Below are 15,335 nucleotides of genomic sequence, written 5' to 3' on the forward strand. Positions count from 1 at the left end.
ATCAAGAATATTAAAGTGGCTGGCTGCAGTGGCTCATGCCTGTAATCGCAGCACTTTGGGAGGTCAATGTGGGAGGATCGCTTGAGGCCACGAGTTTGAGACCAGCCTGGGTAACATAGTGAGATCTCACCTATACTTAAAAAATTAGCCGGGCATGGTGGTGCACACCTGTAGTCCCAGCTAATCAGGAGGCTGAGGCAGGAAGATAGATTCAATCCAGGATGTCAAGCGGTCGTGGCTGCAGTGAGCTATGATGGTGCCACTGCACTTCAGTGTTGGCAATAGAGTGAGATGCTGTTTCTTAACAAAACAAAAAAAATTAAAATTAAAATGATATGCAGCAGCAAAAGAGGCAAAAACTGGCCTCCTCACAAATGGAGATGGAGGAGGGAAGTAAGCTGAGCCTCCTCCAATTTACTTTTCTGTAAACAAGAAGTAATTTGAACTGCCATCAGTGATCCACAATGTGAGTTGGTAAATAGCTCAAAACAATGACAAAGTAGAATCAAATGACCTAAAAGCCCATGATCTAAATAATGCACTGAAGCACAGTTTCTCCATTCATTGCTTATTTTGTGCCAGGCACATTTATGAGCACTTAATCCTCGCAACACTATTAGCTAAGAAATATTGTTCCGTGCACACATGAGCAACTGAAGCTCATAAAGATTAAACAATTAAGAAAAAGTCACACAGCAGACACACTCTACAGCTCAAGTGTCAACCAAACACCCACAGAGATGCATATAGGGTCACATATCAAATCACATAACCTCACGGAGAATGGGCCTAACCTCACGGAGAATGGGGCCATCAGATACACCAAAGCAGACGCTCGGTGGTCCCAACCACCTCTCATAACACTTTCCCAAACTTAAGACGCACATGTCCACGCCAATGTATTATCATAGGCCCTTCCCCCCCTCTTAAAGCCTCCCACGAAGTCTGAACCTGGTACTGATATACGCTTCAGCCCTCAGAAGGCAACCGCTTGATTCTCTGCGCAGGCGCAGCGTTCTCAACACCGCCAACGGGCACAAAGCCACGCCCCCACGGCCGAACTCACGCCTACGTACTCAGTCACCAGCGGAACCCTCTCCACCAGGCTCCGCGTCGAGGCCCTACGGGGCGTCAATACGCACGCGTACTTTGTGTCCCAGGTAGCTCGTCTCTTAGCCATGTACGCCTCTGCATTCCGGTCACTGGGAGCGGGGCCGTGGGGGCTGCACATGCGCACTGCGAGTCCTCGCCTACTCCCAGAAACCACCCGGGCGCATACGCGGTGCGGCCGCTGCTTCAGGTCGGCGGGCTCCAGGGAGACCTGGGTGGGCAGCGTCGCCGTTTCTCCTTTCTTGGGCAGTATTTTTCCCAGCGCCACGCGGAGGCTGGGCCATTATGAGGTTTGTGTTGCGTCGGGGCGGTCCGTCTCAGAGGCGCTCCGGGGAGGAGTGGGCGGCTGAATGGCCAGAGGCCCAGGGATCCGTTCAGGTCAGCGCTGGCGTCCGGGCCTGAGTTTGGAGGTGGCGGGTGCCTTACAAGAATGCTCGCGTGATCAGTGTGTTGGCGTTTGTGTACACAGAGGACATTATTAAAATTACTCTTTGTGTGAATGGTTCTATCCCAGAGTAGGCCACTGGGGCATTGAAAAAAGCCCAGTTACATTTTTAGGAACCAGAGCTGCACGCTAAACTGTTTTCTTTTGACAGTGAAATCTGTCGTTTTTGGAGTTTGTTAGGAACATGGTTGAAAATGGGTGGCAGTGGGTTCGAGAATCTCGTCTTTGAAGTTTTCTTCCTTCTCCTTAGCTCTGCATTTCCAGGACCTGGTCACTATTCAGGACACGGTTCCAGCGCAGTGCGCGTTAGCCATGTCTCAGGTAAGTTTTTGTCCTGCAACATCATAGGTTTTAAGTCCTGGGCACATCTAATTTTGCTTACTTGGGTGGTAAAGACTGACACCGGTACAAGGCTCAGGTCTTTTCATTCAGCAACACGTGGGACTATAGCAACCTCTCTTCTCAGAGTCCATGTCCTGTACTTTAGTGTTCATTTATTCACTGAATGAATTAATCTGAGTCTCCACTGTCACCAGTCTTCTTTTAAGCACTGTGTGGTGGGTCAGAGATACATTCCCTGGAGAAGACAAGAGCCTTTATCCGGGGACTGTCGTCTTCCTGAAGTAGGGGTGAATACTCAGTCATCTTTGAATTCCTTTACAGCTCCAGACTGAGAGGACGCAGCATAGAAAATGCTTATGAGTGGTTCAGACTCAGTAATGGTAATCTGCCTTTGGAAATTTTGGGGAATGGGAATGTGATTGATATCTTAAGCATGAAAGTCCAGGTTAACAAAGTCAGGCCATTTACTAGGACATTAGTGAAAGAGAGTGTTGTGGATCACAGGTTCCAGTTTGACGTTGGGCAGCTTAAAGTCACAGGCTTCATCTGTGGAATTCCGGAAAATACCTATTGGCTTTCTGTAAATGAGGAACAAGAAGTATGCTGCAAGGGAGAAGATGGATGAGCTGGCTATATTTCCCAAAAAAGGGTTCTCTTCAGGGTGTTTGCATGGTCTCTGAAATTTTGTGCAAATACAACCAGATTTGATTCTTAGCCCGCTAAATGTAGTCACCAAGACATTTTGTTTGAAAAATAGATTTTCTTCTCAAAGGGGAAACTTACATTTTCTTTTAGGGAAACAGGCAGTATTTTCCCTACACATTCTGTTTGTTATGATGACTCAAGCTGTTCATGAAGTTGTTAAATTATATTTATGTATTTTAAAAGAAAAGTTGTTAAAAAAATTTCAACCGTCATATAACAACCATGCAGAAAAAAACATTTTTACCACTTTATTGTTTCTGTATTTTGATGTGAAGTATTTGAGCTTAAGGCTTTTTTTAACCACCAGTTCTTATCCCATTTCCTCCATACTTCCAATGCTTCCTTAACTCTGTTGATATTTTCACCATCAAGATAGATTTCCATCACTTCTGCAAGTATTTTTCATGTAGTTTTCCCTGCCCTGGCCCTCAGAGGAAACTAATTTCTTGTTTTGATGACAGTGGATTTGTTTTGCTTGGCTTCACGTAAATGGAGTCAAGTAGTCAGTAGGTGTGTGTCTGGCTTCATTAACTCAACATAATGATTTTAATGTTCATTAATGTCCATTATTTGTTGTTGTTTTGCTGAGTATTCCATTGTGTTAATATATTACAGTCTACTTACTCATTTTCCTGTTGATAGACATTTGGGATGTTTCTAGATTTTTGGCTATTATTAGTAAAACTGCTATGAATATTATTGTGTAGGCTGAGTATCCCTTATCCAAAATTCCTGGGACCAGAAGTATTTCAGATTTTGGATTTTTTTTGTTTTGTTTTGGAATATTTGCATTATACCTACTGGTTGCGCAACCCAAATCTGAAATCCAAAATGTTCCATGAGCATTTCTTTTGACTATTACATCAACACTTAAAAAGTTTTGGATTTTGAAGCATTTCAGATTAGGGATATTCAACCTGTATATGTCTTTTTGTGATCTTTTAGAAGATGTAGTGGTAGAAAAAATACTGGCATCTGGGCACAGTGGCGCACACCTGTAGTCCCAGCAACTTGGGAAGCTGAGGCAGGAGGATCACTTCAGCCCAGCATTTCAGCACCATAGTGCAGCACGATCACACCTGTGAATAGCCACTGCATTCCAGCCTGGGCAACATAACAAGACTGCTGTCTCTTAAAAGAAAGAAAATACTGGCATTTGAAGAATATCAAGAAAAAATATTCATTTAAAATATTGTAGTCTGCCTCATTTATGGTGACAGAATTCAGGATAGCAAGAGGTGTGTCTTGAAGCAATCTTGGGGAATCTTGGAGGTGTTGGTAATATTCAGTTTCTTGATCGGGGATCTGCTGATGGGTGTATTGCGTTGTGAAAATTGATCCTATTGGACATGAATTCATCATATTGATCATGGCTTACTGCAGCCTCAACCTCCTAGATTCAAGCAGTCCTCCTGTCTCAGACTCCTGAGTAGCTGGGACTATAGGCATGTGCCACCATGCCTGGCTAATTTTTTTATTTTTTTGTAGAGACTAAGTCTTGCTGTGTTGCCCAGGCTTGTCTTGAACTCCTGGCCTGAAGCAGTCCTCCTGCCTTGGCCTCCCAAAGTGCTGGTGTGGCAGGCCATGTCTCACCAAATGCAGGTGTCCATAACAGCTGTTTCAGTACTGACTGAGTGGTTAAATATTAAAAGCCACTACCCTTACAAAGAGGCTGGAATGTAACAAAAGCCCACCAACAGTTTTGCCTCGGCCTTTCCTGGGCCTTAAAGCATGACAAAATAATGAAGGAGTTCTTAACTGGACCCATTTAGGATGAAACAAGTTTTACTGGGGGTCTGAAGAAACCCCCCACGCCTCCACAAACAAATTTATTGGAGGTCTGAAGGAAATCCCCAAACCACCGTGGTTTAGCAGGAGACAAGATAAGGGTAATCACTCCAGCACCCTACACCCATTTAGATTAAGTAAATTTGCTGAGGCTCCTGAGGAAGGTCTTCAAGACTCAGACCTTGGTTATAGATTAAAAGAAGTTAATCACTTGTCTTTAGATGAATGCACACCTACACATAGACATATAGCTTAGAAGGTATATAAGCTCTGGAAAACTTTGTAATTGTGAGTTGGTCTGGCAGTAATTTCCAGGCCTTCTCCCTGTAACCGGCTACAGAAATAAAAACTCCCTTCCTCCCCAGTTAATCTGCATCTCGTTATTGGGCCTCAATAAATAGCAGCCTGACCCTCAGCTTGGTCCAGGAACACTGGGATTATAGGCATGAGCCACTGCACCCAGAGATCCTTAAGATTTCTTAAACCCCACATTCAAGTGAGAAAAGAGGAACCTTCTCTGCCCCATGTTTAATACAATTAAGTTTCAATAGCTTTTGACCTATGTACTGTTGTTACAGATGGTGCAAGGGTGTATTTGGAAAGGACAACACAGGGCAGCTGTATATGATTGGAGTGATTGGGAATCATAGTTGTATTATGAGTTGATGAAGTCCCAGGATATTGGAAAGGAAAACTAACCATAGGCTGGGCATCCTCAGTTCTTCCCACCTTCTTCCTAAGTAGCTGAGGATGAAACCTTATTCTTTGCTCCTGTTGCACAGCCTGATGGAGGCAAATAAGGTGAAATAATAACACATCTGCTGCAGTTTTCAGACCATTACATCTACTACCCTAAAATGTAGCTGCTAGAGCAAAGACTACTTTATTTCCTATGATTCTATGGGTGAGGAATTCACACTGAACTCAACAGGGTGGGAATGATTAATCTCTGATCCTATGATGCCTGCCAGGGCCTGAATCCCCAAGATGTCTTCTTCATTCATGTATTTTATATTTAGCTAGAATTGCTGGAGTCATGTATCTGGGCCACTGTTCTTTGCTGCTAGCTGAGTTACTCAGCTTTACTTGATGTAGTCTCAGAATGTCTCACTCTCCATTGGCAACGTCTCATTGTCTTTTCTTATGTGTCATGAGCCCCTATGAGGGCAAAACAGAAGATGCCAAGCCTTCCTGAAGCTTTCATCTGGAACTAGTTAGTGTTAGTTCTGTCATATTCTGTTGATTAAAGCAAATTGTAGGTCCGATCCAGATTTAAAGAAAGAGGACTACACTTTGTTTCAGCAAAAAAGTAATTTGTAAGTTATTCTGATACACTACAGATCCATGGTAGAATTGATCATGACTGGCTTTCAACAAAGTCAATGTGTGGTCATACTATGAATATGTAAGATTATAAAATCAACTATGCTAGTTCCTTTACAAATTGGTTTTGAATACGTGGATACACAATCTCTGAGCAATACATTTCTTAAATTATTCAGTGTTTTTTGAATCACCCTGTTCATCTTGAATGTTTCCCTTATTAAGTATTTTTCTATACCCAAATTTTAATAAACACTATTTCACAGTATTGCTCTTTAGTAACTTAAATAAGCTGCTTTTATAAGACAAAGAGTCCTTATCAGCTCCTCCCAACTTCCAGTTATTTCCTTGGGCTCTTCTAAGGAAGTGTTTATCATTTTCAGGGATGAGTGACATTCCAAGATGTGGCCATTGACTTCTCCAAGGAAGAGTGGGGATTCCTGAACCCTGCTCAGAGAGATTTGTACACAACTGTGATGCTGGAGAATTATCAGAACCTGGTCTGGCTGGGTAAGTGCTTAAAGCCCTTAATTCAGCAACTGGTCTTGAGTATTTCTTTTTTTGTTTTTATACTGGGAGTCTTTGGTGAGATTCAGAATTTACATGAGATGTGGAAATTGGAGTGAGCAGCTTTCTTTATCCTATCTGCCAGATGTTCTAATGTTTTTGTTTTTATAATGGCTTGTGTTTCGATTACAGTGTTGATCTGTCACAATACCTGAGTAACCAGAGCATAGCCAACTCTTTCTATTCACAGGACTTTCCATTTCTAAATCTGTGATTTCACTGTTGGAGAAAAGGAAACTGCCTTGGATAATGGCAAAAGAAGAGATAAGAGGCCCATTGCCAGGTGAGTATGAAGAACCAACTAGCGGGGGTAAGCCATGTATATGAAAGGCATACCAGGTCTAGAGGGCAAAGCACCTTTAAGATGTGAAAGATGCTCTCTTCCAATGTTCCATACGTATGTAGAAATTGAGGCTCCTTGAGTTTGAGTTCCTAAAAGGGTACTGATCACCCACCATTTATATCTGCTTTTATAAATGCCTGTGGGCTCAGAAATTACAGGTGTGTCTTTCCTCTTTGTCTATGGTAAGCTTCCTTTTAAATTCAGGATCCTGTTTCTCATGACTTTTTTTTTATTTGACTCTTTGATATTGTTTTCTTTACTGTAAGATGACTTATATAGTGGTCTGATTGTTTGAATGGGTGTATTCATTGGTCATTTATTCATTAACATTAATTCCATTTTTAAAACTAGTCAACTGTTGAGAGTCCCCAAGACCACCCCCAGGTTCAAGGACTTACTAGGAGTCGTCACAGGAGTCATCATATCATTGTATTCATGCCTGCAAAGTTAGTGAATAGTCCAGAAGAACACCATCATTCTGATGCCAGCTGCAAAGTATGGGGGTCCCCAAGACCACCCTGAATTCTGACACGAATTGCAAATCCAAAGGTCCCCAAGATGACCCTCAGGTTTGATAATTCACTAGAAGGATTCACAGAACTCACTGAAAGCTGTTACACTCATGGTTAGAGTTTATTGCCATGAAAGGATACACATTAAAAATCAGCCGAGGAAAAAGACATGGGGCAGAGTCTCGGAGGACTTCCATTTATGCCCCCACAGTGGAGTCATGGACAGTGTTAACTCCTCCCAACAATGATGTGTGGCAGTATGCACAGTGTGTGGCCAACCAAGGAAGCCTATCTGACCCTTGTTATCCAGACTCCTCATTAGGGCACCATCATGTAGACATGGCTGACTGCTAATGTCTCACCTCAATCTCTAGCTCCTCTGAAGGTCACCCTAATATCATGTGACCCAAAGCCCCACATAAATCACATAGTTTGATTATCTGGTGTGGTCCAACGCCCATAGGTAAATAGAGACACTTTTATCTTGCAGGATATTTCAAGGTGTCAGAGATGACCATCTCCCAGGAGCCAAAGGCAAAGACTAGAACTCTCTTTGGAAAAGGTTAAATTATTTACTACACAATGGCTAAGATTTATTTTAGCAAAAGATATAAAACAAAATCAGCAAAGGTAAGCTCATAAGGCAAAGTCTGGAGGAAATCAGGAATGTGCTTCCGAGATTCCTCTCCCAGGGGAGTCACACAGGAGGTACTTAATTCCTCTAGCAGCAACTTGTGTGGTATGTGTGAGATAATAGCAGCTAGACAACATTAGACTTAGTGCCAAGGAATTTACTTAGGGAAGCCATAAAGGTACCCTCTGCCGAGTATATGCTAAAAATCCAGAATCTCAGAAGGAAAGTAGGTGTTCCGCATAAACCACATCATCTGCACAAATAGCTTAGGCACAGTAAGCCACTTGTACCAGTTCCGGGAATGGTAGAAACCCTCATGAAATCCAAGTTCCTTAGAGGTCAGTCAGGGGCCAACGTTGTAAGCACACCTTTCTAAGGAGAACAGTCTCAAAGCCTGCTGTGTTCTTTTCTGAGTTTGTTTAAAAGTATAGAAACTTGCAGTGAGTTTACATTTGAGTGAGGGGATTAAGACTTGCTTCCACAAACCTTGTGCAAAGTAGAAACTAATTAACTAGTAGAAACTAATTAAAATGGTTTATTTTGATGTGTGGGAGTTAGTAAAGTTTTAGTTTCAAAACTGGGTGATATTTAAAGTTATAGAAAGTGAGGAAATGAAGTACATTTGTGATATATTTATTTAAGGAATTGTTGGAATTAAGGTATGTCTTGAACTGTGAGTTACAAATATGTAGCTGGATCTCAATAGTAATTCAGAATTGGAGATGAATGTGTTTTTTATATGTTTTGTGGTGATGGACCCTTAGGAATGGAAGAAATGAATTGCCTATAGATAGCAGAGAAGGACTGATTGATTGGTAGCAAGAGAAACAGGAAACATCCTGTGTTAGAATTCCAGGGCCTCACTATTCATGAAGAAAAGGTAACCAAAGTAAGACCAAGACGTTAGGATAAGACAACGTTGAAAGGTAGTTTATATCTGACTAATTTATGGTTCTTGCTAAAGTGGATATTTCTATGGTGAAAAGGATGTAGAATAATGAGCTTGAATCGTCACATTTGGTAATAATCTTTTATTTGAGTTCATTTTCAAAACCATTAGGCCTTCGTAGTAGAGGCCCCCTGTAAAACCAGCCCCTCTTGCACCCTTAATGAGGTTAGCCCTCTCCACTGTCTACATACACAGTATAATCTGGAAAAAACAGTGGGATTCCCACATGTTTAGTGCATGAAAAACAGGCCAGACTCAGTCATTTTCCATAATTGACCGGGGTTCTGTTCTGTTCTTTTACAGCAAGCACAGCCAGCATCTCTGCCCCTCTGCCCTTTAGCTCCTAAACAGTAAAAACAACTACAGGTTAGAAGGGTATTATGTTCGTCTTTGTAGCAAGTCCTATTGCCTTTCTTTAATTTTTGATCCTGTTGATCAGTCTTCCTGTAATGCCATTTTGGCCCCTGCAATTCCCCATAGTACATGTTTTCTTAAGCTCTAAATCTGTTTCCTTGCTGCCTTCACTTGACCCTCTTATTTTTCCTGTTTGCTTAGCGATCTCTTTAATCTCAAAATGTCTATATCAGTGAGAATTCATACCCTATCTGCCCCTGATTATATGATTGATTTTATTGTTTCTATATTATGTCAAATTGTTTCTGCAGTAAAATAATTGGAGATGCCTTCTGTCTGGACACATTAATTCCTCTGGTTAATGCATACATATACATACAGAAACTATCATTTACCTTTTTGTGTTTTGAAACTTGTGGTATAACTTAGCACACTGCATCTTGTCCTTTTCACTTAATACATTATCCTGCAGCTCAGAAAACAGCTGAAGTTCACTCTTTTTTTAGTAGCTAAGTAATACTACAGATAGAGATATACCATGGTTAATGATGAGGGACCCCTAGTTTGTTTCCAATATAAAGCCTATTTCAATAAGCATTCTTATCAATATAACCTTAAAAACTGGTATCTTAGTTTCTTGAGTAGGTGCCTAAAGTGGGATTGAAAAGATAAAAGATAGGTATATTACATTAGTTTAATTTGCTTCTGTTCATTGATTTTTTTTCCCCTTTCAGATGTGCCAGGTGCAGAGATTAAGGAGTTATCTGCAAAGAGGGCTATTAATGAAGTATTATCGCAGTTTGACACAGTGATAAAATGTACAAGAAACGTATGTAAGGAATGTGGAAATCTATACTGCCACAATATGCAGCTTACTCTCCATAAGAGAAATCATACACAAAAGAAATGCAATCAGTGTTTAGATTGTGGGAAATACTTCACTCGTCAATCAACTCTCATTCAGCATCAAAGAATCCACACGGGAGAGAGACCCTATAAATGTAACGAATGTATTAAAACCTTCAACCAGAGGGCACACCTTACCTAGCATGAGAGAATTCACACTGGTGAGAAACCTTACAAATGTAAGGAATGCAGGAAAACCTTCAGCCAGATGACTCATCTCACACAGCATCAGACTACACATACGAGAGAAAAGTTCCATGAATGCAGTGAATGTGGAAAGGCCTTCAGCCGTGTCTCAGCTCTTATAGATCACCAGCGAATTCATAGTGGAGAAAAGCCGTATGAATGTAAGGAGTGTGGAAGAGCCTTCACTCAAAGTGCCCAGCTCATTAGACATCAGAAAACTCATTCTGGAGAAAAACCCTATGAGTGTAGTAAGTGTAAGAAATCTTTTGTGCACCTGTCTTCCCTGATTGAACATTGGAGAATTCACACTGGAGAAAAACCATATCAATGTAAGGACTGCAAAAAGACCTTTTGTCGTGTGATGCAGTTCACTCTGCACAGGAGAATTCATACTGGTGAAAAACCCTATGAATGCAAGGAATGTGGAAAGTCCTTCAGCGCCCATTCTTCTCTTGTTACTCATAAGAGAACACACAGTGGAGAAAAACCGTATAAATGCAAGGAATGTGGAAAAGCCTTCAGTGCGCACTCTTCCCTTGTTACTCATAAGAGAACACACAGTGGAGAGAAACCCTATACATGCCATGCCTGTGGGAAGGCCTTTAATACTTCCTCCACACTTTGTCAACATAATAGAATTCATACTGGTGAAAAACCCTTTCAGTGCAGTCAATGCGGGAAGTCCTTTAGCTGCAGCTCTCACCTTACTCGACACTGTAGAATGTGTAATGGAAAATTTAGCAAATAACCAAAACTCAAAATGTTAATTCTGATTATTCTGTATCATCACCAGTACTTTGTACTTTGAGTCTTTTTAAATATGCTCTGTTAGTTTGTATGGAATGATATTTCATTGCACTTTTAATTTAACTTAAAAATGCCTTCCCTTGACTGTTGATATGTATTTTTTGTGAAGTGTGTGTTGAAGCCTTGCAGATTATTTTTTAAATTAGAGGTTTATCACTAGGTATATCTCCTAATGCTATCCCTCCCCCCTCCCCCTAATGTAAATGACGAGTTAATGGTGCAGCACACCAACATGGCACATGTATACATATGTAACAAACCTGCACGTTGTGCACATGGTACCCTAAAACTTAAAGTATAATTAAAAAAAAAAATTAGAGGTTTTTCTTCGGGTGCATTTATGAGAGTTCACCAGATTTTGGAAATATTTTCTATTCTGTAACCTACCTTTTCATTTACATAACAGTGATAAAAGCTTTAAGTTTGATCACATCCAATTAATCACATTTTTTAATAGTTATGCTTTTATTTGTTTTTCAGACAGGGTCTTACTCTGTCACCCAGGCTGGAGTGCAGTGGCACAATCATGGCTCACTGCAGTCTCTGCCTCCCAGGCTCAAGTGATCCTCCCACCTCAGCCTCTCAAGTAGCTGGGACTACAGGCATGTGCCACCACACCTAATTTCTATATTTTTTGTAGAGACTAGGTTTCACCATGTTGTCCAGGCTTGTCTTGACCTCCTGAGCTCAAGCAGTCCATCTGCCTCAGCCTCCCAAAGTGCTGGGACTACAGACATGAGCCATTGTGCCTGACCTAGTTCTGCTTTTTATGTTCTAAGAAGTATTATTTATTCTATGCTGAGCTTACATAGAATTTCTTCCATGTTTTCTATAGCTATAGTGTATTTTTACCTTTTACTGTTAGATCTATTTCATGTTTTTATTATGGATAATGGAGGAGGTAAAGGTTGAATTATATTTTCCCCCATATTATTGACCCATAGTGACACCAGTTTTGGGAGATGTCTTTCATTTTCGCCCTTACGTTGTTATTGGCACCTTTTGCAAAAATCAATTATTTATCATGAGTATACTTCTGAAATGATCTGTTTCATCAATCTATTTGTCTTCTCAGTAGTTCCACATTGTCTTAATTATAGCTTTAGAGGAAGTCTTGAAATTTGGTAGTAAGTCTTCCAGTTTTGTTATTTTAACAAATTTCTCTAGGCTGGGCATGGTGGCTCATGCCTATAATCCCAGCACTTTAGGAGCCCCAGACAGGAGGATCACTTAAGCGCAGAAGATCAAGACCAGCCTGGGAAATATAGCAAGACCTTATCTCTACAAAAAAATTTAGAAATTAGCTGGGCATGGTGGCACCCATCTGTAGTCCTAACTGCTCAGGAGGCTGAGGTGGGAGGATTGCTTGAGTCCAGGAGTTCAAGGCTGCAGTGAGTTGTGATCACACCATTGCAGTCCAGCCAGGTTGACAGAATGAGACCCTGTCTCTTAAAAAAAAAAAAAAAAATCCTGGTGATGCTTTTCTGGATTAAAAAATAAAATAAAATAAAAATTGGCCTCACTACTCTAGCTTATTTGCATTTTCTAATAAATGTTCAGAGTCACCTTGTCAGTTCCTACCAAAAAGCCTGTCGGTATTATAATTGAGATTGCATGAAGTCTGTAGACAAACTTGAAGAGAATTGACACTTAACAGCAGTGACTTCCAGTCTGTAACCTTAGCATAAGTTCTATTTGTCTCCTTTAATTTTTCTCAGAAATACCTGTAGTTTTCTGTATAGAGATCTTGAATGTATTTTCTTAAGTTTATTAATAGACATTTTCACAATATGTAAATTCGTTTGTCTTTTACTTTTCCAGTTGTTTGCTACTTGTACATCAAAATAGCATTTTGTACATTTATCTTGCATCTTGTCTTGAACATTTCACTTATTCTTGGAGTTGTCATACAGATTTCTTAAATTTTTTTTTTTTCTTTTTTTTTTTTTTGAGACGGAGTCTTGCTCTGTCACCCAGGATGGAGTGCAGTGGCGCGATCTCGGCTCACTGCAAGCTCCGCCTCCCGGGTTCACACCATTCTCCTGCCTCAGCCTCCCGAGTAGCTGGGACTACAGGTGCCTGCCACCACGCCCAGCTAATTTTTTGTATTTTTAGTAGAGACGGGGTTTCACTATGTTAGCCAGGATGGTCTCTATGTCCTGACCTCGTGATCTGCCCACCTCGGCCTCCCAAAGTGCTGGGATTACAGGCATGAGCCACCGCGCCTGGCCTTAAGATTTTTTTCATAAGCAATCATGTCACGTGCAAATAGACAGTGTATTCATTTCTGGTCTGTGCTGTTCTTTTTTTTCTCATCTTATTGCAATTGCTGTGTGACCTCCAGGACAGTGTTGAATGAAAGTGATAAATGTAGGCACCCTTGTTTTGCTTTCAGTCTTAGGAGGAAAGACTTAGTGGGGAGGAAGTGGCAACTCTGAGTCAGGATGTAGACTTCTTAGCATATGCATTTGCACATCTTGCTCAAATCCCAGATTTCCCTATACCCTCTATGCTCCCTTTAAAACAATGCTTTCTTTCCACAGTATCTTTCCCCCAAGTCAATAATGGGTCAAATTTCAGCAGTCCCAAACTGGGGAAGTTCTGGGACTGCTGTGGTAAGAAATGGATTCAGACACCAAAGGAGCTGTAGGACCTGGCTAACATGTACAAGCAAGAACCAGAAGAGTATACCTGGGAGGAGATCCTGAGATTACTGCATCATTAGGTAGAATACAAAGTTGAATAGGGGAGAGTTTTTTGCTATGGGGTCACTGTATGACAGGATTAACACACTGGCAAGGGAAAAAGATGCTTCTAATGGATGCTGGGACAGTTTTTGAAGCTTGGAAAAAGCATTGGTTCTCATTAAATAAAATGAAGATAGCAGAATTGCCATGACAAATGAGGATGGGATCAAAAGAAGTGGATATACAAGGGAGAACAAGCGTCATGGAGATGGCCAATAGTAGCTGTCCCCTAGGCGAGGGCTGGCTGCAAGAGGTGCTGTTAAGGAACTGGGCTCTCTAGTTGCAATGGGAATGATAGGATCTCAGAATAATGGCAGCCAGGTGATAGCTCTTAGCATCAAACGCAAGGAGGGCCATAATTACCATATGGGTAGAAGGCTTAGAATAGAATCTGGGGAGATTGATCTTCAGAAATCTATGGTTCTGGCTCATAGCACATGAGTTTGCCAATGGCAAGTCATCTGCTTCCAATAAGAGTAAACTTATTGAGACAAGGGGTTGCTCCGTTGCCCAGGCTGGAGTACATGGCATGATCACAGCTCAACTGCAACCTTGAACTCCTGGGCTCAAATAATCCTCTCACCTCAGCCTCCCAAGTAGTTGGGACTACAGGCACATGCCACCACACCTGGCTAACTTTTTTGTTTCTTTGTAGAGATAGGGTCTCCCTTTGTTGCCCAGGCTGGTCTAGAATTCATGATATCAAGTGATCCTCCTGCCTCAGCCTCTGAGTGTTGGAATTACAGGCAGGAGTCATAGTGCCTGGCCCAAACTTAACTAAAAAACAGAGAAGGCAAGGTGCATTGGCTCACACCTGTAATCCCAGGACTTTGTGAGGCCAAAGTGGGAGAATTGCTTGAGTCCAGGAGTTTGAGACCATCCTGGGCAACATAAGAAAACCCTGTATCTACAAAATAATTTTTTAAAAATTAGCCTAGCGTGGTGGCACATGCCTGTGGTCCCAGCTGTTCAGGAAGCTGAGGTAGGAGGACTGCTTGAATGGGAGGTTGAGGCTTCAGTGAGCCATGGCTGTGCCACTGCACTCCAGTTTGAGATGCCATCTCAAAAAACAAAACAAAAAAACCAGACAGTAAATATAGGTGTTGTGGCCATATAGTCTCTGTGGCAACTACTCAGCTCTGCTGTAGTGAAACCAAAGCAGTCGTAGACCATAAATGCAATGTGTCACTCAGACTTTATAAAGCAGGTAGCGGGCTGGATTTGGTTTTTATACCCTGCACTAGGCAAAATGGGATATTATGTAAAGATAAAGGTATAATTCATAAATAGAGGGTTAGTAGTATGTCCCTGTAAGTCAAACAATATAAATTAAAAAGCGTAAATGTCTGGAAACTCAAGGTGTTGGCAACATTTTTTTAGGAAATTCTGATCCAGCATACCAAATTATATGAAAACATGGAGATTTTTACTATTGCAATCTAGTGGCTTAATGGACTTATTTAGAAACTTGTATCCAAAAATGCAGAATACATATTTTTTCAATGTTCATGGTATACAGAAATCAATCTTGTATTTAACCACACACACACACACACACACAGTCAAACTGGGTGGCACAGCGGCTCATGCCTGTAATCCCAGCACTTATAGGAAGTG

General features: G+C 41.3%; 1 protein-coding gene and 1 pseudogene across 6 annotated transcripts in view, besides 3 other annotated features; one reads left to right on the plus strand and one right to left on the minus strand.

Moving 5' to 3' along the window:
• Window positions 1-1,218, minus strand: part of ZSCAN5A (zinc finger and SCAN domain containing 5A) — a 146,976-nt gene extending 145,758 nt beyond the window's left edge. Inside the window, exon 1 of the mRNA NM_001322072.3 lies at window positions 1,149-1,218. The gene's annotated coding sequence lies outside the window, so the exon portion shown is untranslated. The remainder of the gene's footprint in view (window positions 1-1,148) is intronic.
• Window positions 1,000-1,294: an enhancer, noted in NCBI's record as "tiled region #13801; HepG2 Activating DNase unmatched - State 1:Tss, and K562 Activating DNase unmatched - State 1:Tss". NCBI's record gives its function as "activates a minimal TATA promoter and a strong SV40 promoter by Sharpr-MPRA in HepG2 and K562 cells {active_cell/tissue: HepG2 | K562}" and the evidence as "EXISTENCE:reporter gene assay evidence [ECO:0000049][PMID:27701403]".
• Window positions 1,039-12,768, plus strand: ZNF542P (zinc finger protein 542, pseudogene; annotated as a pseudogene). Of its 5 annotated transcripts, NR_003127.2 has the most exons (7): window positions 1,039-1,163; window positions 1,806-1,876; window positions 2,219-2,277; window positions 6,097-6,223; window positions 6,471-6,563; window positions 7,626-7,697; window positions 9,807-12,768. The product of NR_003127.2 is annotated as a zinc finger protein 542, pseudogene, transcript variant 4 (transcript). The 5 variants fall into 5 exon arrangements; NR_033418.1 differs by lacking the exon at window positions 2,219-2,277 and having other exon boundaries at window positions 1,061-1,400; window positions 7,626-7,765; NR_024056.2 differs by lacking the exon at window positions 2,219-2,277 and having other exon boundaries at window positions 1,061-1,400.
• Window positions 1,340-1,469: an enhancer, noted in NCBI's record as "active region_15118". NCBI's record gives its function as "activates an Ori minimal core promoter by ATAC-STARR-seq in GM12878 lymphoblastoid cells {active_cell/tissue: GM12878}" and the evidence as "EXISTENCE:reporter gene assay evidence [ECO:0000049][PMID:35858748]".
• Window positions 9,937-11,136: an enhancer, noted in NCBI's record as "BRD4-independent group 4 enhancer chr19:56888366-56889565 (GRCh37/hg19 assembly coordinates)". NCBI's record gives its function as "activates an origin of replication core promoter dependent on BRD2, P300/CBP, MED14 and CDK7 cofactors, and independent of BRD4, by STARR-seq in HCT116 cells {active_cell/tissue: HCT116}" and the evidence as "EXISTENCE:reporter gene assay evidence [ECO:0000049][PMID:35650434]".

This window comes from Homo sapiens, chromosome 19, assembly GCF_000001405.40.
Source record: "Homo sapiens chromosome 19, GRCh38.p14 Primary Assembly".
NCBI lineage: Eukaryota > Metazoa > Chordata > Mammalia > Primates > Hominidae > Homo > Homo sapiens.